Source organism: Homo sapiens, chromosome 12 (genome assembly GCF_000001405.40).
Source record: "Homo sapiens chromosome 12, GRCh38.p14 Primary Assembly".
In the NCBI taxonomy this organism is placed as follows: Eukaryota; Metazoa; Chordata; class Mammalia; order Primates; family Hominidae; genus Homo; species Homo sapiens.
The window spans coordinates 90,008,995-90,031,870 of NC_000012.12; the positions used below are offsets into that span (position 1 = coordinate 90,008,995).

The window sequence follows — 22,876 nt, forward strand, 5'->3', positions numbered from 1 at the left end:
AAGTCCATGACTTTCTTTGAGACATTACCAAGATATGCAATACACACTATGTGATTTTATTTGTCCTTCAGCACAATTAAGCACCTCCTGATAGGAACTTTGTTGTATTCCTTCCTGAGGATTCTTAGAGGTTTCATAGAGTATAGCAAATGTTTCAGACGCTCATTACATCTATGAGGAAAGAGCTCAGATTCAAGGGAACATAGTCTTTGGCTCTCTGTCATTTGGAGGTAGTTTAATGAAATGTAAAAGAAGAGCTTCCATTCAGGTACGGTTTTACAATAAACTGCTTTTGGTGGGATAGAAATTCATTCAACATTTGGTTGGACTTAATCGACCTTTTGAAAATGGGGTAGGAAGCAGCACTGTTAGGTTTTAATATATCTGTTTCTACTGGTGTTTATAAACAAGATTCCATGTGAGAACATTTGGACACTGCACATAAGATGATTATTTTCCTCTATTTGTTTATGCATTCTGCCCTAATTCTAGGCACTTAGACTGTATCAATTAAAAAAAAACAAACATCACTTCTTTGGATCTTATATTTTATTGAGGGAGAAGGGGATGCTGACAATTGACAATAGGTGTAATAAAAATTAAATAATATAGTATAAAATTATATATACGTGTAACAGTGTGTGATAAATGAAATGGGGAAAAGGTAGAAAGAAGAGGGTTAAGGGGATTGGGATGTTAGAGGAGAAGTTTTATGATTTTAAATAGGCTTTTCAAGTAGGTTGCATTGAGAAGGTGATATTTGAGCTTGAAGTAAGTAAGTTAGTGTGCTATGTGGATATTTAGAGAAAAAGTGTTCTAAGCAGAGGGAACAGCAAATGTAAAGATTCCCAAGTTGTACAGTGCCTGGAGTGTGTCAAGATATATCAAGGTGCTAGGGCGACGGCAGCGGAAGGAACACAGAAGAGGCGAGGGCAGATCACATAGGGCTTTATGCTGAACGTTTTTCATTTGCTTCCCCAGATCCATTCATTTCTCTTTGCCATTGATAAAAGCTTCACACTGTTGCTAGCCTCAGAGTAGCACACCATGTATATATGATTTTTTAAATGCTCATCCTCACCTTTGTAAACGTTCTCTGTTAGGGTTTGAATGTTTTTGTCCCCCTAAAGTGCATAGGTTGAAACATAATCCCCAACACAAAAATATTAAGAGGTGGAGACTTCGGGAGCTGATTAGGTCATGAGGGTGAAGCTGTCATGAATTGGATTAGTTTGCCCTTATAAAAGATGTCTCAGAAAGCTAGTTTTCCCCTTCACCATGTGAGGGTGCCGCGAGAAGGCAACATCTATGAAGTAGTGGGTGAGTCCTCACCAGACACAGAATCTGCTAGCTCCTTGATCTTGGATTTCCTGGCCCCCTAGTCTCCAGAACTGTAAGAAATGAGTTTATATTGTTTATAGGATATCCTGTCTATGGTAATTTGTTACAGCAGCCTGAATGGACTAAGGCTTAAACTTTCCTTGATGACCAGTTTAATTGTGTCACCTATTTTTTTCCAGGGCCCTAAATGATAAAGGCATTGGAGACCACTGTAAGGATGTTGACATTTATTCTGAATGAGTTGGGGAGAGATGCAGCGAAGTAGCTTCTAGTCCAAAAGTATCAGCCTGGCCGCTCTGTTGACAATAGTCAGCAAGAGGGTAAGGTTGAAGCAAGGACAACAGTTAGGAGGTGACTACTGTAATCCAGGTGAGGCACATGTCATCTGGCTATATAGGCCAGATTATACCCAATGAATTCTAAATGCATCTCATACTTTTTTGTTTGTTTGTTTTTTGTTTTTTTTGTTGTTGTTGTTGAGACAGAGTCTTGCTCTGTCGCCCAGGCTGGCGTGCAGTGATGCCATCCCAGCTAACTGCAACCTCTGCCTCCTGGGTCCAAGTGATTCTCTTGCCTCAGCCTCCCAAGCTGGAATTACAGGTGTGTGCCACCATGCCTGGCTAATCTTTTGTATTTTTAGTAGAGATGGGGTTTCACCATGTTGGCCAGGCTGTTCTCAAATTCCTGACCTCAGGTGATCCACCTGCCTCGGCCTCCCAAAGTGCTAGGATTACAAGTGTAAGCCACTATGTCAGGTCAGAAAACAAACTTTTATTATGGCCTAAAGTTCAAGATGGCTCTTTAGAAGTAATTTCCCCATGCCAGTTTTGGTTCTTTTGAAGTGAATCCTATGTATTGCTGTGAAGATAACTAGTGATTATAAATAGAATTTTAAAAATGGAATTAAATGCCTATCCTTTATGAAATGTCATTCCATTTTTTCTTCATAGGTTATTTGCTCTCTTTGTGAATAAAATATATTTTAAACACATTTTTCAGTTTTCCAACAAAAAGTTTTGAATGCCTATATGCTTTTTTTCTAGGCAAACTGTTTCAAGGTTAGGAAGAATGGGATGGCAGGTGAGGGAGGAACAGATATTAATCAAATATTACATAACTGCATATCAAATTTCAAACTGAAAAGAGCCATGATGGAAAGATACAGGAGTGTTAAAAGGCTCTAATAAGAAGATCTGTCCTAGCCTCAGGGAATTCTGTGAAGACTTATCTTAGAAAGCAATATAAGTTTTACAATTTTATCTATTGTAAAACTTCTACCTATAATAAGCAACAGGCACTTCCACCAAGAATAGGAGTTCCTTCACACTTGGTATAACCAGAATTCTTTTAGGAATTCTTCCACTTCATTTATTTGAGAGCAAATAGAGGATACTTACTAGTTTGATTGAAGCAATTGAGGTAGATTCTCATCTACTTTCTCATGGCTGTGTTGTAGCCCTGAAGTTTGACTTATGTTAGGGCCACTCTCATAGACCCTGTGCCTAGTTATGTGTGTGACTTATTTTCCCCAAGTAAACCATGTTGAGTTTCAAGAGAAAGGGATGGAATTTCCACATGTTGAGTATAAACTCTGTATAGGCACTGTTCCAGGAATTCAAGTGCATTTGCTCCTCTGTCTTTTCCTCACAGCCCACATCTAATCTAGTCTGTCAGCACTACTATGAAAAATAGATCCCCAATCTGACAACCTCTGCATTTCCTCTTTAGTTTAACCCACCATCATCTTAAATTTAGGCTTGTATAATAGACTTCTAATTGGTCTTCTACTCATGTGCCCCCATAATCGGTTCTCCATATGGCAACCAGAGTGAAGTTAAAAAGTTAATCAGAACATGTCGCTCCCCCTATTCAAAGTTCTCCAGTGGTTTCCCTTTGCCTTGACAAGAAAATGGAACCCCTTACATAGCCAACAAGGTCCTGGATGATTTAGCCTTTGATTTTCCACCCGTCTTGTATTGCTTTCAACCTCTCTGACTGTAATCTGGCCTCTTACCATTCTTGGTAAACTCTAAATGAGTTCCTGCCTTGGAGCTGTTGCACTTGCTGTTGCTTCTGCCTGGCTATGCATATTCTTCACATAGATTATCCCCTAATAATAAATAATGATTTCTTCTCCTTATTCAGGTTTTTCCTTGGATTCTCAGAGGAGCTTTCAATTCAAAATGCCAAGTTCTACCCTCAATCCCTCATCCATGATTTCTAATACTTTATTTTATTTTTCTTTAAAGCCCTTACCACCTTCAATGCAATGTGTATTTATTTGCATATTTTTCTAGACTACAAATTCCATGAGGACACAGACTTTCTTTTTTAAACCAATTCATAGTCTCAGAATCAAGCATGTTCTGGTCCATAACACTGCACTATAATATTTATGAATATTTCCAGAATAACTGACTGATGTATCTCCTTCAAACTCTTTGTTTTTGATGATCTTGAAAGGCAAGCACAAGAAGTTCAGGACCAGTACAGTTGTTACCCTTGCCTTGTATCCCATGAACATAGTAGACAATCAGCAAATATTTTTTGAATAATAAATAAATATAACCATGAACATTAAACTTTGCAAATTGCCATTGAGAGGCAATACACTGTTGTAAGCAAGTGACTGGCTTTGTGGTTAGACTGGACTGTTTGACTCTTATATCTGCCACTTGCTGTGTCAGATTGAGCAAATCATTTAATCTCTCTGAACCGGGTCTCCTTACCTAAAAAATTAGGCTAATAAGGAGTAGCCTCATGGGGAGAATTGTTGTGAGAATTAAGTAAAATGGGAAATGTATGCAGCATTGGGTCTCCATGTGTTATCAATAAAATAATCCTCCAGCCTGAGTTAAGTGCCCTCCTCTGCTTGCTAGTGGCCCCTGAGCTTTCCTGTGGCAGAGCAATTATCCTAGTCAATATTTTCTCTTTATGTGTCTACTCTTCTCCAAGTTTTAAGCATCTGGAGTGCAAGGACTTAACTTTATTAATCTTTAAATTGCCAGAACCAGTACATGGACGGTCCTCAATGCATCTGTTTTGAATTGAATAGGACTGAATTAGAGGGATAGCCTTTATTTCAGAATAAGGACACTGTGATATTAATCAATGTCAATTTCAGTGAGTCCTTAGTAAGTATTAATAAGAGACAGGCATCTATCTACAGGTATGTTTGCCAAGTTATTAGCAAAACCTATTCTAGACAAGCTGTAAATGTAGGGTCTTAGTTGTGGTGGTGGTGGTGAAGAGTGAATGAGGAGGAAGAGAGCAGCACCTACTGGAGGAGGATGTCCCTTGGTGCAGACCTTGTCTCTTTCCCTGCTGCTACTGGCTTTTGCCAAAGCTAGCTTCCTAAAGGCTCTGGTTGGATCTCTTTTATCAGTTACTAGGTAGAGCCAGTTGTGTCAGCTGAAGTGGTGGAAATTTCTGTTCAACTTATAAATAGTTGAAGAGTCTGTCTTGGTGAAATGTGAAATGAGCAAATATTCCATTTTCTCCCGGGAGGGTGGACCAGGATTCGGTGTATGATGCTGTGATGTCAGCCGTGTCCAGGCCTCTGTTCATGAGGCTGTACAGCCATAAGTTATTCATATGAACCTAACACACAAAGTCTTAGCCTTACCAAATAATGAGGATTCTTCTCCTGAAGCTTGCTCCCCTGCTGGAGGCCTCAGTCTGCAAGGTCACCCTGTCAGAAGCAGAAATGGACATCATATCCTTTAGGATTGGTGTACTTTATGAATATGGAAAAAAAGTGATGCACTGAGCAACTTAATGAAGCTCCAGGAAACTTTATACTCTCTCCTGTGTATCCTGGCTGGATATCAGATGTTGTCTGTGTGTGTGTGTGTATTCCTTCTTAATAGCTTTTGTTCATATATTTGGGTTGTTATTCCCTGGTGTCTTTAGTTAAAAGATCTGAGAGAAGAGAAATTTCTTAGAGTGATATTTAGTTCTGTCACGCACAGTTATTAATATTAAAGGAAATATTATTTCACAGGATAAATGAAGATCTGTAAGTAGCTATTGTTTCTCCTTTTTGGCCTTTGACTTGGAGAAGCTCTGGAATCTTTATAGTAGACAGTGGAAAAAAAATATATATATATATGGGTTTTGGAATCAGGTATAGGTTCAAATACCAGGTCTGCCCTGAGACCATAAGCAGGAAACTTTAGCTTCTCTGAGCTGTATAACAGGGAAAGCCAAGCCCTAGAAAGTTCTTACTATATGACATCACATGCCCAAAGCATCGAGTACCTGTACTCTGTACAGTGGATGCTTAATAAATGTTAGTTCCTTTTCTCCTTCAACTTTTCTCAGAAACAAGATCCTCTTCTTCTTTGTTGACTCATTTGAATATTGATTACCTAAGTTTTCTGATTACCTTTCAGGTTATACCTACTGTTCTTAGGACAATGTTCGAACTCCCTTGCATGACCATTTTTAGATTTCTTGTGTCCTGCTGTACTCCTCATCCACTGGCTGCAGATGCAACTGTGGTATTTTGGATAAGAATTCAGACTTGGAAATTTATTAGTCGGGTTCAAATCCCAGCTTTGCCACTGACTGCTGTGTGAACTTGGGGTATTCAATCTCTCTGTGGTGCAGTTTTTCTAACCTGTAAAGTAGGGATAGTAATAATTCTTATTTTGGGAATTGTTATAAAAATTAAATGAACATTTCCATGCAATGAGCTTATAACAGCTGTAATGAGCTTATAACAGGACAAGGCATATTGTAAACATTAAACATTTTTAAAAGAGAAAAGTAGTCTTGCAATTAAGTGTGAAGAACCAGGTGTGGACTCAGAATGGGGCAGGGTGCCCACAAACAAGAGGCATAAGAAGATTGAAAGCACTTTATTACCCTTCAAAAGCTGACAAAACTGAAGAATTCTTGTCTCTATATAAAGTAATATCACTGCAACTTCTCCTCCTTCTCCTCCTCCTATGTAGAGTGGGTGAGTTTAGTGACAGACTGTTTTGGAAGGAGCTAGAAATATCAGCTGGAAAAATGCTTGGCAACCACTTTAGAATGATTATCTGACTTTAGGAGGAAGGGAGAATACTGAGGTATTCCTCTTATCCAAATTTAGAAATGTCATGAAGGCACAATGAATCATCTCTCAGAGGCTCTAAAAACATTTTTCCCATACTAGGTGTTGCCTATTGTCTACCATTGCTGGCAGTTCTGAACCTCAGGATCACTCACCAACTCCCAAAGAAGCTACCCAGTTTGGGCAATTACAGGATCTGCTTCAGGGTTTTCTTTCCCACATTTTGGTGGACGTTGTGTCTGGCTCTCCAACCTCCATCCCACCCCTTGGATCCGTCTAAATCAATCAAGGTTAATCTCACCCACCTTGTCAGGCATGAGCTCAGTGTGGGCCTGTGCCATACAAGAAAGGGGACTTGGGAAAAAGAACTCAGCCTTTCTCTCCTGCTGAATGTGAACAGGGAAGCATGTTGCTCTGATTGCTGCTGGCAGCCATTTCAGGACCAGGTAACCAGCCATAGGAGGAAACAATGCTCTGATGGGCAGCTTGGAGAGATGGGAGGAATGGGTCCCTGAGGACATGATTGAGTCCCTGCAGCTGCCCCAACTCTGTAATTCCTCTTTTGCATTTTACTAAATTTCTTTATCATTAAGCTAGTTTAATTTGAGTTTCTGTTATTTGCAGCCAAAAACATTCTGACCAAACTCACTCATGACACTTCCCTACACTATCTTGTAGGCAGTTATTTATGTCAACGTGGGTGTCCCTATTAGGTTGTGCATAACTTGAGGGCAGCAGTCATGTTCCATCCATTTTTTTTCTTTCTTTTAAAACATTTAACGTAGTGTCTTGCAAATAGTCACAATTTTACTCTTTTTGATAAATAACAATGTTGAAAGCAATATACTCTGACAGCTTTTGGCCTCACTTAACAGCAGTGAAGCCCCTATTAAAAAACAGAATTTGCTTTTTTGATCTATAATTATAAAAGCCAATGCTTGGTAGAAATGAATAAAATCATGATCTTTCAGGATCTTTTTAGTGTTGTTCATGCAATTGTTGGATATAGAAAATCTTATTACAAATTAAATAATTGAATTATGTTTTCATAACATGCAACCAAGTACACTCCCCCTAGCTTTCCCTCTATAAGGACTAATTTCAGGCATCTGTTTGTACAGTGAAGATGAATTTTATTGGTGACAAATGCACTCCTGCATTAACAAATTAAGTGCATTCTCAAAGGGGAAAAAACAAACTCAGAGAAAATTGGGTTGTCTGTTCTTAAAGTCTAAAAAAGGACTTCTGTCCTCGGGGGACATTCGGCATTTTTGTAATCACATAGAAAGAAAAACATGTGCCTCTTGGGTATAGCATTAAAATAAATTAATTTTGCTGCCTTATTCATAATGGCTAACGGCAAATTGGGAGTGTTTATTTCTAGACTCTTCTTGCTCATAAAACCAGGTTTTCTTATGACCGCCTTCTCACTGAAGATGAATAGCTGTGTTAACTTATAGAAGATGAAGAATGTAGTACCTGTTCCTCCACTTGTGGCTTATTAATAATAGGTGAGTTGTCATGGGGACTAACAGGACCCTAAAGCCTCAGGATCTTGAATTCATATCGCTAGAACATCATCCTCTATTTTCTTCTCAGTTGTTCTTGGGATGCAAAATGTCTTCTACACCTTGGAGAAATGCTGCCTTGTGAACAGACTCTGGAGACAGTTGTTATCATTTCCCTCTTTCCAGCACAACTTGTGGTCATTCTCCCCCCATCCTGGCTGCTTTCTCCTAGCCTACACCAGGGTTTCCTTCACTTGTTCTTCCCAGATTAGCCTGTCTGCACATTCACTCGCCTGAAATCCTAGAAAATTTACTCACCCTTAAATATTTCTTTGGTGTTCTCCAAGATGGGTGTGGAGAGGCACCAATCTGTGGCAGGTATAGGTTAACATATATATAGTAGCTTCCAGTTAGATGGGGTGGCTATGGATTTCCATTGTTTTCCAATACAGAGTCTCATAATGTTAAATACTTGACTTTCACGATGTTGTAAGTATTGGAGAGGTGTGAATGACCTCTGCAATCACTGAGAAATTCTTAAGAATGGCAATTCTTCCCTGAATTTTACCAGCTGGAAATCTTATTTCATAAAGAAATGTTGCAATAATTGGAGGAAACCGTAATATTTTCTTACAAAAGAAATATGCTTTTGTAAATAAATAGCTGCCATGTGACCACAAGTAGATTTGTACAAGTCTAGAAATATTTTGAGGGCTCATAGATATGATTGTTGCTTTTGTGTTCCCTTTGATTTTTTTTTCTAAATTTATTAACAGTTATGGCATTTAGCTAAGAAACAATATTATCTAAGCCTATTTTGTAAATAGCCACATGTCCCATCGCCCAAGGTAAATAATTCTATCAGGTTGATTGCAGAATCCAGGTTTGTTTGTTTTTAAAATCTATTTAATTACATTGGACTTGTCTGATGGAATAGTTTTTATTTGCAAGACAGAGTTATGCATGGGAGAAACCAGAATAATCATACTTATAAGAGAAATTTGGGACAAAATACTAAACTAAGCTTCTTTTTTGAACTGCTCCCTAACATCTTGTCAGTTAGAAAACGGCTGAGTTGTAGCTGAAATGATGGATTCTTTTGCCTTGTCCTACCATGGGGCAGAAGTAAGGGGTTGAACATGAGAGACGAGTCTCACAAGGAAGAGACTGTTGTTTGCAGAGATATTCTGATTCAAAAGAATTCTTTATGTTCCAAGGAGAAACTGTTCTTTGGTAAAAATACTAATATGCGTCTTGAAACCATTTTTCTAACCTTTAGGTTAAATTTTAAATCAAGACTATGGAAAAAGAGGGTTGTCTTTTCATAACATATTTTTGCCCCCTAATCTGTCCTCCTGTTAGTTTTAAACATGATTAACCGTTTGACATAACTACCCAAATGACAGAGTGTTTGTATTAAATACATATTACAATTTATTTTCCCATATATAATTAGGAATAATCATTGCTGCCAGAATATAAAATGACACATCAATGATAAGTAGAGATAATAGCAGCTGCACACAAGAAAATGCATCTAAACACCTGAAGATTATAATTATATCTCTCTCCCACCCCTTATGTTTGTGTCATGATGCATCTTAGGTGGCATAGACCTTAGGTAGTCATTAAAGTCACGTGAGTATTCTACTAGTATCTACTGCAAATATATAGGTATCCCTTGAGCATATGCTTTTTCAATATTGAAAAATATCAATAACTGAGATAATAGGGAGTGCATTTTACCAAAATGAGAGCTCTCCTTAGGAATCTTAAGTTATACATCATCTTTGTAATTCATTGAATTCAATTGAATACCCACTCTGTGCTAAGTACACTACTAGTCACTTTGGAGGACACACAGAAGAATCACTGCTTCCCTTCAAGAGAGTTACAATCTCTGTTGGAGGTGGAGACAGGACAAGACAGAGCAAGGAAGAACAATTAATATCACACTTGTCTAATTTTTCTAAGTTGTATAGTTTCGAGAGTTTATGTGTTGTAGGAATTTGGAGAGAGGAAGTCAGGAGGGATGTGTAGAAGATGTAAGCTTGAGCTGAATTTTGAAGGTTAAGAGAATTTATATAGGTATAGATAGGTATCAGAGACATTTCTCAATATTTATAAGTATTTTGTGGCTTAGTCTTAATTAGATTTTCTTTCTATTTTCTGAGCTATATTATGTTCTTTCATTTAACCAACATTATCTAACCTTTATAGATAACTTCGTTTTGCTTTTAAGATTCAAAAGAAGTAAGAAGCATGGCCCCTAATGTGATCAAGTTGAACAATAGAACATAGATTCATCAAGCTACTTGGCAACAAATACATGGCAAAGGACTTTGGTTTTATCTGTATTTTAACTCCATTAGTACATGGACCATATGGCACTAACTTTCCTAGCATTTTCTCAACTCACAACTCGGGAAGTATGCACAGTAGGTTTAATAGTTTTCAAACAATCTGAAAACTTTTACTGGCTTAATTTTTGGGTAAAGTGTGGCAGACAAGTTTGTCAGAGTTTGTTTTTATTTGACTTGTTGAAAGTGATACTTAAAATATAACTGAAGTGGATTAAAAGAGATTTTATAAAACCATAGATTAACTCTTTAAGTGCAAAACACATACAAAATTCTGCAGGGTGAGTTATTATTTATGTAAAGCCATAGAGTTTTGAAAGCATTTTTGAACATGATATTTTATATTTGATAGTAAATGTTATTTTGTTCTTATTGGCTACTTATATGCTTTTATCTGCAAAACAAAAATTGGATATTTTAAATCAATGACTTTATTAGAGTTATTTAAGCAAAATATCTTAATCCAGTCTTGTCTAACACTATAGCTAAAGGCAAAGTATAATTTTAATGACTTAAAATGCTTTATGACTTTGACTTGTGCTGACTTATGTAAGGATAATACATTCCTATAAGAGGTGTTATGATTAGAAACTAGTGGCCCTGATTTTATCTTTAAGCTACCTGTAGTCCTTGAGGTCTTTTGGGGGCTATTCTTCATGAGAATAGTGCCTCCAAGGTCCCTGCTCATCCAGATATCACAGGGCAGAGAGGCCTAAAAAGAGTAGACCCTAAAATTCAGGGTAGACAAAACTGTTGTTGTGAGAGCAGCAGATTAGGGCATATGCACTTCTCCAACCTGGTAGAGCTATATAGAACCTGCTATTCCTGTGCTTCTGCAAGGGGACAATCTGTAAGGAGTACTAGGAATATAAACTCTTTTTGAGAGGTCCATCATGGGATCATCTTTGTGAATCGGCACAAGTGTTTTCATGGTTCCCATGACTTCAAAACCACAGCTCATGTTGTCCAGATGTTCCATGAGAATAAAAGAAGAAAAAAAAACTATGGTTTTATTGTAGGCTCCTGCATAATCACACCACTTAGACCTATCAGGGTGGCTTGATGTCAGCCTCAATCATATAAATACTGTTATAGGAAGTAAAATAATGTGGAGCTAATTAATTAAATTATCATTGATTCAAGTCAACAAGTAACATAATACTGTTAAGATACTATGTATTGTGAGCAATATGTGGATAATAAAAGAAAAAAATTATCCTCAGAAAGAGCTTAAAATCTCGTAGGAGACATTAGGACAAGTATTTACCCACTGTTACCAAAAAAGAGAGAGAGAGAGCTATGTGCTTTGAAGTTATGATAAAGTCCTTGAAGAAGGTAGAATTACAGAAGAGAGGTGTGGGGGTGGAGGGGGAGAGATCTCACTTCTGACTTGGGAACATCAGAAAAGGCTTCACAAAGGAGGCAGAATCCGAAATGAAACAAAAAGGGTGAGGAAAGCAAATGATGTGATTTTATGATTTTGCAATCAACTTTTAATTTAATTTAATTTTTGTCTTCAGAGTTCCATTCCTGGGATTTGTTAAAAAAAAATTCCTCTCCCTAGCAAGCAGACTTAGAAAGAAAGAAAAAAATATTGCTGGAGGGTCATAAAGTAATGATTGGGCTAGGTAGTAATGCCATCCAATAATTCGCTGGTCACTAAGTATAAAAACATGATACAGATTTTTATGCTGTGAATATTTAGCTACACCTGCCACTGATCATACTTTAAGAGAGGGGTAAAAGGACGTTTGTGTATACTGCTCATTTGGTTAACTGTGAAGAGGTTTGCATTATAATTACGTGACAATTACGTGTTACATTGGTTACTGTCATTGAATCCCTTCATGCTGGAGTAGTGCTGCTGCTGCTGCCCTTGCTGTGGAATGATAATATTACAAGGCTTGGAAAGGTCTTGCACAGCCCTGTCCCTTATGTTGTAGACGTCCAAACTAGAGGGCAGGGAGAGGAAAGGTCTCATGCTTGGTAGTAGAACTCTGATATTAATTCGGTTTTCTTGAGCTCAATTTCCTAGAATTCATTCCACTGGGCATAAAATACCTCCTTCATATTGTTTAGTATATCTACATGCCTCTTAGCTACTGAAATGGATAGTATCTGTAGTAATTGTAGCAATTTAGTAACTTGCTAGTTTGATCTGCTTTGTTCTTCATAGACTACTAGGAACCAATAAATATATTTCTGAAATAACAGTGTTAATGACATTGTGACATTGGTTTTTACTTCTTTTCAATAGATTCAGATATACATGAAAATCATTTTGCATAATGAAGGTAAGCTTAAAAACATTCTTAAAGTTCTACGAAAGCCTTGATATAAAGAGCAAGGTTTAAAATTTCTAAGAAGTCTTTCTATTTGAAGCCCCCCCCGCCCCCTCTCTCTATCAGTGATTTCCTTGGTTGTTCAGGTCTAATATTGACCATAATGCTACAAGCTCAATATAATAAATTATAAAAGCAACCTCATTTTATAATTTGCTACCTACTTTAAGGTGTACTTATTTTCATACTAATGCCTTATCTGCATGTGAAGCCACATGCGAAACATGTCTCATATTGCACTTTGACTTGTATTATGTGTCCATAAGTTCACCTGAACCCTGAAACAGTCAGAAAAAAATTATTGCAGATAACATTATAGGTTACTGAGTTTAGATCTATTGAACTTCTGAGGTTGTTTTATGATATATTGTGTAAACATAAAAAGGTCACTTTACCATGAAAGAAGTAAAGACTTTTATAAAAACTTGTTTTATTGCAGTAATCTTAGCTTCATAAAAAACTCATAGGTAGCATTAAAGGGCACTGAGTTTAGCAAGGAAAGGCATTGAGGTAACCTTTGTGCTTTGTGAAGACATTGATTAGTGCCAACTCTGCCCTTTGACTTAGTAATTGAAATCTTGGCATTTGATCTCAAGTAAGTAACGTAATAAAGAAAATATGTGCATGCAAAGTTATTTATTGCATCATTATCCAAAACTATGTATAATTAAAAAAAAGTTAATATCCAATAAGATGGAATTAGTTTAGTAATTTATAGCATATCCTCTTAGCCTCATAGGATGATGGAGCCAAGAGTAACTCTAAAATTTCATTCTCAAGTATTGTTATTATAACATTTCAACAATAAAATGTGACAAAATGTAAAAATAATAGAGTAATCTGCAAAATACACATGCTTTTTGTGAGCAGTGTTACTAGTCCTGATATGCCATATCACATCAGATTTTAAATGTGTAAACTACTTTAAATTGTTCAATTTTGAAATAAAAATGAGCAAATAAATGTGCAGTTTTGATTTCAAAACTAAACAAAAGTAAGCACTATTTTTCAAAGATATTGCTAAATCGCACCATTACAATAATAATATATAAAATTGTAAACCATAGTATAAACCTAGATTATGGTGTTTGCATAATGTTGCAAAATAGTGCCTGTAAAAAACTCAATGCTGCATCTTTCATTGCTAGTAATTTCTAATTATATGCCTGGTTCCTCCATGCACTGGAGCAATACATTTACTGCTTTTGAATAAATGCAGATACAACCACATGGACAAAGTAGTTCTCACTTGGCCTCAAGTTTTGTCTCCTTTTTTGAAGTCCACCACCACAGACACAGAATACTCTAAAAGCCAATATACTTTTAGGAGGCACTTGGAAGAAAAAATGTTTCATTGAAATTTAAAAACTTCATATGAGAAACCAAGAGCAAAGCCAAGTAGGTGGAGGTGCTGAGTTTCTACCCTGAACCAGAGAATATGGAGGATTCACCACGCCTTTGGGGCAGCTTTCCTTTCCTCATGAAGAGGACTTTTGAATTCTTGCTAGGCTTAATTAAGGGAGGAGCTCTGGGAGGATTTTCAATGAAAAGCCTGAGTGTGGATGCTAGAGAGGGTCCTCCTCCTTGTCGCCCTGCAATTGAAGCCTGGAGCGGGAGATTAAGTCCCCCAGAGGGGTGAAGGGTTCTAAAAAAAGGAGGGACTGGCATGCTGCTCTGCTTCTTGTTTGGAATTCCAGAAGGAGACACCTCCCAGACTCTATATCCATGTGGGGCTGCCTTAGTAGATGGAGATGGTGATGTGCTACTTCACACAGAAGGGTCTGAGTCACCCCTTCCTCTGCCTCACCCTCAAACCCCTTCCTCCCTGGATGCATCTAGGAAACCTGAAACATTGTGCCTGAGGGGATTTAAACTATAATTGAAAACTGTGAGATGTCTGTCTGCCAGGGGTTAGTGGGGTGATTGGGAGGTGAGGCCTCAATGGTCAAGATCCAGGCTAGAGGGTCTCAGAGGATCAGCAGTTTTAGCAAGGGCTGAAGGGGAGCAGAGCAGCAAGACAACTGAGCTTTTTGAGCAAAGCTTGATGGATGCTTGAGTCTGGAGACAAAGCCCTATTACCATCTGTCTCCTGGGCTAAAACCTAAGACCTGGAGGCTGAACTACACAGGCCAGGCCAGAGGAGGACTCTCAGACCAGAAGCTCCTGCCCCTAAGCCAGGATGATACATAAGCCCTGAGAATTTAGATCTCTTCTAGCAGAAAGGAGAAAGGCAGCTGGGTGAGGATGGAGAGGAGCAGTATTCCTTTCCCACCATTAGGAGAAAGAGGGGTTTTTGTCCTAGGTTATTCTAACAATATAGAAATTTATGTTTTTATTTTTGTTCAGCTGTCTTTTTGTGCCTCAAGAAATAAATACCTGCTAAAGCCATGGTTTGTGTATATATATATATATATATATATATATACATGTGTAAGTCTCGGAGAGAATGAGATTTTATTAGTGATTTCTTGCCCTGGGAAAACACATTGAGGCCTAAATTATAGTGGATCAGGGATGGATGAACCAGTGGAAAGGATACGGGGGAGTAGATGAGACTGGGAGAAAGAGGGAGCTTAGCAGGATGGATAAGATCTTGTTGGTAATCTCAAATTCGGTTTTTATCCAAACAAGGTTGTAGCCCTGGAAGCCAGGGAGTTGCTGGAAATGTGTCTGATCTGGGGTAAATCGGGGTTGGTGTGGTGTAGAGGAGCAAGCAACCTGTCTAGATAGCATAGGGCCCGGATATAGGAATTCAAGAGATTCAAAAAAAAGATTACAGGCCATGGTATTTGAGGCATATTGCCTAATGGTTTATTTTTATGATTTGTGTTTCCTACAAATGCCAGGAATGCAATTGGTTGGCTCCCGGGCATTTGGAAGGAAATATTTGCAGCTGGTTAATAGCAAAATAAACAGTTGCAAGTATGCTCTGCAATTGGATGGAGAGAGGGCTGACAGGGACAGAAAGGGGAGGCTAAAAAGAGAAGTATGGGATGCAGCAGAGTGTTGCCGGAACAGTGGAAAGTTTAGAGTCGAATGCGTCTGGGTTGAATCTGAGGAATTCTGTTTACTTACTGTATGTGGCCTTGGGCCAGTCAATTTTTCTCATCTGCAAAATGGGGATAATCACATTTACATTGCTGGGTTTTGGTAAGCATTAGGATTATTAGGATTATGTGTATAAAGCATGTAAATCCTTCTCTGGCACCTATCCAGCAGGTGCTTGGTAAATGATAGTTATCAATAGAAAAAGATATATTTATTTTTTTCTGGAGGGGGACTTTTTTTTTAATTACGTCTTTTTGTTTCCTTTGTTTCTTGTGTTTTTACCTATTGTATTAGTTTTCTGTGGCTGCTGTAACAAATTACCATAAATCTAGTGGTTTAAAGAATAATTTTACTCTCTCACAGTTTGAGAGGCCAGAAGTCTAAAATTGAGGTGTTGTCTACCTCCAGAGTGGGGAGGGGGAGAATCCTCTACTTCTTCCTCTGGTGGTGGTTGGCATTTCTTTGTTTGTGGCTGCACCGCTCCCTGCTCTGTCTTCATAGTCTTCTCCTCTGAGTGTCTGTGTCTAATCTCCCTCTGCTTCTCTTTTTTTTTTTTTTTGAGACAGAGTCTCGCTGTGTCACCCAGGCTGGAGTGCAGTGGCGTGATCTCGGCTCATTGCAAGCTTCGCCTCCCAGGTTCACGCCATTCTCTTGCCTCAGCCTCCCGAGTAGCTGGGACTACAGGAGCCCGCCACCACGACCGGCTATTTTTTTGTATTTTTAGTAGAGATGGGGTTTCACCGTGTTAGCCAGGAAGGCCTCGATCTCCTGACCTCATGATCCACCCGCCTCGGCCACCCAAAGTGCTGAGATTACAGGCATGAGCCACCGCTCCCGGCCTGCTTCTCTCTTATAAGAGTCCATGTGATTGCATTTAGGACCAACCCAGATAATACAGGATAATGCTCCTGTTCAACATTCCTAATCAGGTCTTCTGCTATATAAGGTAATGCTCACTCTTTTTTCATATAAAGTGATAGTCACAGGTTCTGAGGATTAGAAATGGAATATATATTTGAGGGGCTATTTTTTTTCTGTCTAGCAAATCTTTTTAAATATTTTAAGAAAATTTTATAAAAAATCCAGCCTAACAAGTAAGGTTCTAGAAAACAGTTTGACTTTCCTTTAAAGTGGGCTGAGGAAATGGTGCGCATGGAAATGGGGAACTTAGTTTTCAGATTTAAGAAAGGAAGCCAAAAGATGAGCACCTGAAATAAAATACCACCATTTGGAAAAATGAGAAGAAGATTTGAAATAATGATGATATCTTTTAAAAATGCAGTATCATTTACTTTCCAAATTATTCCAACACATTTAGCTCTGCAGTGAATCCCTAGAAATCAAATCTTATTTTGCTACTGATTTTGACTATATCCTTGGAATTATCCATCTGTGGAAAAATCTTCTCTGTGATCTTAACTGAAACTGTGTTTACAAAGAGCTGGGACCCTTCTCATAGCATTGTTATCAGTTCAGACACTGACATTCTGAATGTTACAGTGCTTTTCTTGTGCCCTCCTAAAAATTTCCCCAAATTATAGAAGTGCCTCCTTGACTGGGGAATCATTGAACTGTGTATTTGTAGTGCCTCTCAATGGACGTCGTAATTTCCAATAAAGTTGGACTTCCTTGATGATCACCAATATTAATATTTAAGTATGACCATATTTAAATATGACATTTGGACTTCAGTGACTTATAAAGCATATTTTCTCCCTATTTATTATTGTTTAATAATTCTATATTTTAAAATGAAGGATGTATATGCAACTAGGAAAATGATGTTTTATTTTGTGTATAATCAAATTTTTGCCTATAAGGAAACCGTCATATATATATATATATATATATATATATATATATAAAGAGAGAGAGAGAGAGAGAGAGAGAGAGAGAGACCGAGTCTCACTCTGTCACTCAGGCTTGAGTACAGTGGCGCTATCTTGGCTCACTGCAATCTCCACCTCCTAGGTTCAAGCGATTCTTGTGCTTCAGCCTTATGAGTAGCTGGGATTATAGGCACGTGCCACCACGCTTGCCTAATTTTTGTAATTTTAGTAGACACAGGGTTTTGGCATGTTGGCCAGGCTAGTTTTGAACTCCTGACCTCAGGCGATTGCCTGCCTCGGCCTTCCAAAAGTGTTGGGATTGCAAGCGTGAGCCACCACGCCTGGTCATTATGCATATTCTTAAATTTGAGATTTATTAGTCTCTGGTCTTAGCATCAGAAACTTTTCTGTAGCACTTGATATGTTTTAAAATTCATAGACACTCTGAATTGTGTACATGATCTGATTTCCCTTTTTATGTTGATTGTTAAATTTATTACCCACCTATAAAAGTATAGAGAATTTTGTCATATATTTTTACAATAATTTTCTTTTTGGTTGCATTTTATATGGTTGCTGTCATTTTTTTTTTCTTTCATGTGTGTCTGTTGTGGGTTGACTTGTGTTCCCCAAAGAGATATAGTAAAGTCCTAACCCCTGATACCTGTGACTATCACCTTATTTGGAAATAGTCTTTGCAGATCTATTAAGTTAAAATGAGGTCATACTGGGTTAGGATGGGCTCTAATCTAATTACTGGTGTACTTATAAGTGGGGGAGAAGACACACAGACACAGACACACACAAGGAAGAACACAGTGTGAAGATGAAGGCAGAGATTATAGTGATGTATCTGCCAGTGAGGGAATGCTGAGGGTGGCCTATCAGCCACCAGAAAGTAAGAAGAGGCAGACAGAGGATTTCTTAGAAACTTCAGAGGGATTGTGACCCTGTGAACAACCTGATTTCAGACTTCTAGCCTCTGTAACTGGGAGAGAAGAAGAATACATTTCCATTGTTTTAGGCTGCCCAGTTTATGACATTTTGTTACTACAGCCCTAGGAAACTAATAGTGTCCACACATTTGAGTGTGTGTGCATTAATATTAATACATGTGTATGTATGTGATTATATATGTGAGAGAAGTTATCACCTCAAATTTCTGCCAGCTACTTCATATTGTTTTAAAGAATGAAATTATTTAATAAATATTTAATAATAATTATAATATTATAATAGTAGTATATTCCTCTCATAAACTCCTTAGAATATATCTCCTTGTTCAAAGTAGTTATTGGAATATATACTCTTTGTGTATATATATATATATATATATATTTTTTTTTTTTTTTTTTTTGAGATGGAGTTGCTCTGTGGCCCAGGCTGGAGTGTGGTGGTGTGATCTCAGTTCACTACAACCTCAACTTCCAGGGTTCAAGCGATTCTCCTGACTCAGCCTCCCAAGTAGCTGGGACTACAGGCGTGTGCCACCATGCCTGGCTAAATTTTGTATTTTTGGTAGAGATGGGGTTTCAGCATGTTGGCCAGGCTGTTCTCAAACTCCTGACCATGAGTGATTCACCCTCCTCAGCCTGTCAAAGTTCTGAGATTACAGGCATGAGCCACTCTGCCCAGCCTTCATAAAAATTTAATTAGTTATATATTGCTTCTAGGACAATGATCAAGATCTAAACCTATGCATTTTCCTGACTTTGCCAGTAGTGAACTTGATGGCATTTTGCAAGAAGCTGCCTCAAAATTCCAAATAACACATAACATGATTAGGGAGCAAGTGACTTCTGAGTATGAAGATCCATGTGGGTGTTTCATTAAGATGAAATGTATCTGGGATTTGCTACGAGATAGGTCAAGCCAGCACGCATCCAGGTCTGTCCCTCCATGGCATCTGTGCTATGTAATGTGGTCACATAAAACCTCTTCATGAGACAGCAAGCAGATAAACTGGAGACATCTCCTAAGACAGAAACAGATGAGTGACAAAGGCAGTTTTCCTCCTCATTTCCATTTTATGCATTTCAGGGTTTGGCAGGGTAAGCTCTGCTTTAATGTAGATGATAATGCAATGCTGTAAAAGAATCAAATCGAGCAAGATTCTCTCTAAGCTGTAGACCAGTTTCCTGTTTTATTTTCTTGAATGTTTTCTTTTACTTTTGAAAACAGACAGTGAACCTTAAAAGCAGGGAGGCAGCTTTTAAGCTTGCTATCATCATTCAGATCAATTTGGAACCAAGTCTCACCTCCCATCTCTTCTAATTTTGATGTACATTCTCTGTTGGCCACTGGCCAGAGCAGAAGTCAGGAAATGATAAATACTCATTTATTCCCAGACACAGCAGTTTGTGCTGAGATGGGAGACAGCATTTACAGTCATTAAACCTATTGCATTTTTAGTGTGTTTATTAATAGCAACCAAAGTCAATGTTGATGTCATCTCCACTAGTGATAGTCAACTTTCAGGTTTGTTATTCTTAGTGGATTTCCTGCCCAAGGATCCACACTTGTTTTGTTCAGCCTTCCACAATGATTTATAACATGACTGTCAAATCAGGTTTAACTAGTTTAACACCAGCTAGACATAACCAGATATCATATAGCTGAAAAAATTGCTTTAGTGGGTATGTCAAATATCAGAGAAACCCAACAAATGTTAAAGAAAATATCTTCAGAAGAGAACATCTTGTTTGTTCTAGTGCTTGAGAAAAGTATCTCTGAATTTTATAATTCTGAAAGTCTCTTGATAAATAGGCAGATTAATCAGTATAGTGCTTTCGTTTCTTCTTAAAAAATATGTAACTGCTACTCAGGTTTTTTTTCTTATCCTGTCAACCAGGCAACTGAGTTAGTTGATCCTCAGGTTAAAGTTGGTGGAAGAAATAAAAACCTCAGAGTTGTCAATATCTTGCTATGTTTTGGTGCATCTGATATTCTGATTTGGCTTTCACTAGATATCACATAGCTGAGAATCATCTTACGTTCTGGTATTTGACAAGCATTGAAAGCATCCGAGGCAATGAGTTGGCATGGATTCAGCCTGCCTTGGCAAAAGCATGGCCAGAACTGATATGATGTCCTACACAGACAGCACCTGCTCTTGAAATCAGGCCCATTGCTCATCAAAGGACAGCCCCTCCCCCAACAAATATGCCATTCAATTTATTCATTTTTAAAATTAAGATGGACTGAATAAAAAAGAAAGCACAATTGCTTTTGTTTGGACAAATAAGCAGCCATGCGATTAGCTTGAAATCGCACAGGTAAAAAGCACAGTGACTAAATTATCATTTAATGATTTTTAATAAAGAGAGATGCTTACTTGCTTTTAAAACAGAATCTGAAAAAGGGAATGCAAGGTATGTGAATGTGACATGAAAGCATAGAGTGATATTTTACTAGATTAAGCAAGACATGAAAAATTAGAGAGGTGATTCTAAGCAATGGATAAAAATACAACTTATACATTAAAACCAGTCACTGTACCTGGAAACATACAAAGTATTTAATGTAGCAAATTTACATTTGCTAAAAGGAAGATTGGATCCTATTTCTACCACACATTTTTTCCCTTTTGAAAATTATACAGATTATTTATTCTTTCTTATACTTTAAGCTCAGTGGCACCATTAACAAGAGAGGGTATTCATTTAAACCAGAAGAATGGAAGAGTTCAAACTTTAGGGGCAATGAAGGAAACTGAGGAAAAGGAGGGACTTCAAGGTCAAATTATGTGAACTGTGAACAAATTATTGTGAACTGCAAATTACACCATTTTGTTTTTTTAGGCAGTTTCTTATTACAGTATTTCCAATAGCAGATAATTGCTAAGATCCAAGGAAGTCCTAAAAACAATTCAGGATCTTGATTCTATGACATTCTCAATGCTATCAGGTATCTAAAACCAAACATGGTGCTGAGAAGCAGAAACTAATCATAAAATATTATATGTTTGCAGCTTTGCAGTCAGAAAAATTGAGATTGAAACATGCTGCTGGCTTCTCAGTAGCTATGTGATCTGGGGCATTTGCTTAACCTTAAATTTTTCAGTTTTTTTCATCTATAAAATTCAGATAATAGTAAACCTATCACATGAAATTATTGGGAAGACTAAGTGGTGTAATGTATGCAAAGCCTAAAACAATAACTAGCACAGTATAATGGCTTAATCAATGTTAACTTGAATTAGCATTTTTGTGCCTGCTTAAACAGTGATTTTCAAATGACCCATATAGAGCTTGAATATTATTTGGAAATTGAGCCATAAAGCAGATGAAATCACCAAGGATTTGTTTGGTTTGTTTTTATTTGCAGGAAAAGGGAACATGACATTTAACATCAGTCTGTATGTTATGTGATCTGGACATTAGCTGTGTTGGCTCTTGGCACAGTTGACACCTCCTCCTTTGCTCCACTCTGCATTGTGGGGGCTGGAAATCTGAGAGCTATATGTTTCCCAGTCTCCTTTGCCAGCAGGCTTCTGAATTGGCATTAGGGTCCATCAGTGAGATACATTTGTGTAATATTTGGAAGGCAGAAGAGTGTCAGAAACAGTGATGTGTCAAGTTGGCTCATAAAAGTTCAAAGGAACTGATCATGGACATCATTTTCCAACTATGCATTCAGTAGCTTTAAATCAGCCATAGTCGGAATTTTTATACCACAGAAATTGGAAAATACTACAAATAAGCACTTTTTTCATGCCCAATGAATCAGTTAGATATTTCTTGCATACCAGTGGATAGAAATAATATTATTCCTCTACCTGTATTGGCAGGCAGATAATCAGGCATTGAAAAGTGAGATTTTGCAGTGGACTTTGGATATTCTCCTGATTATTATCACTGGTCTCAATTGGATGTTCCCCTGATTATTATCACTTGTCTCAATTGGGGGCATTGAAGTAGAATTCCTGCTCTGGGTTACAGTAGCCATTTTCTGATTGCCTGAATCCAATGGCAAGCCTGTGCTAGTGGTAGCTTTCTCTGGCTTTTGCCCTTCCAACAGTTTTGTAAGCACCAAATTATCTTTGTTAAATTTCTTCCTGCCCCAAATGCCTAGAATACTCTCTGTTTTCCTGATAAAACTCTGATAATACATTAAGTCATAAATACGTAAGTATAGTTATCTGGGCAGGACTCATGTCAACTTGAAAAAAAATAGGGGCTTTAAAAAATCAGTGATAACAAACTTTCCGTATATTTGTGAGGATGCTGCCAGTGAATTTACCTGAATTTGAAGATAAGCTCAGAGAACCAAAGAAATAAATCAACCTACAAAACTACTTGTAGATCATTTAGACTTGGAGACTTTGGCATTTATAGGTTTTAGTATACTTTAAATCAAAGACCAGAAAAATCTGTTAAGCACTCTGAGT

At 37.7% G+C, this 22,876-nt stretch overlaps 1 long non-coding RNA gene across 1 annotated transcript in view; it reads left to right on the forward strand.

Moving 5' to 3' along the window:
• The window catches only part of LOC105369890 (uncharacterized), a 192,148-nt gene that overhangs the window by 88,853 nt on the left and 80,419 nt on the right, over positions 1 to 22,876 (forward strand). The window contains exon 8 of the long non-coding RNA XR_001749246.2: positions 12,526 to 12,562. This is a non-coding gene — a long non-coding RNA (uncharacterized LOC105369890). The remainder of the gene's footprint in view (positions 1 to 12,525; positions 12,563 to 22,876) is intronic.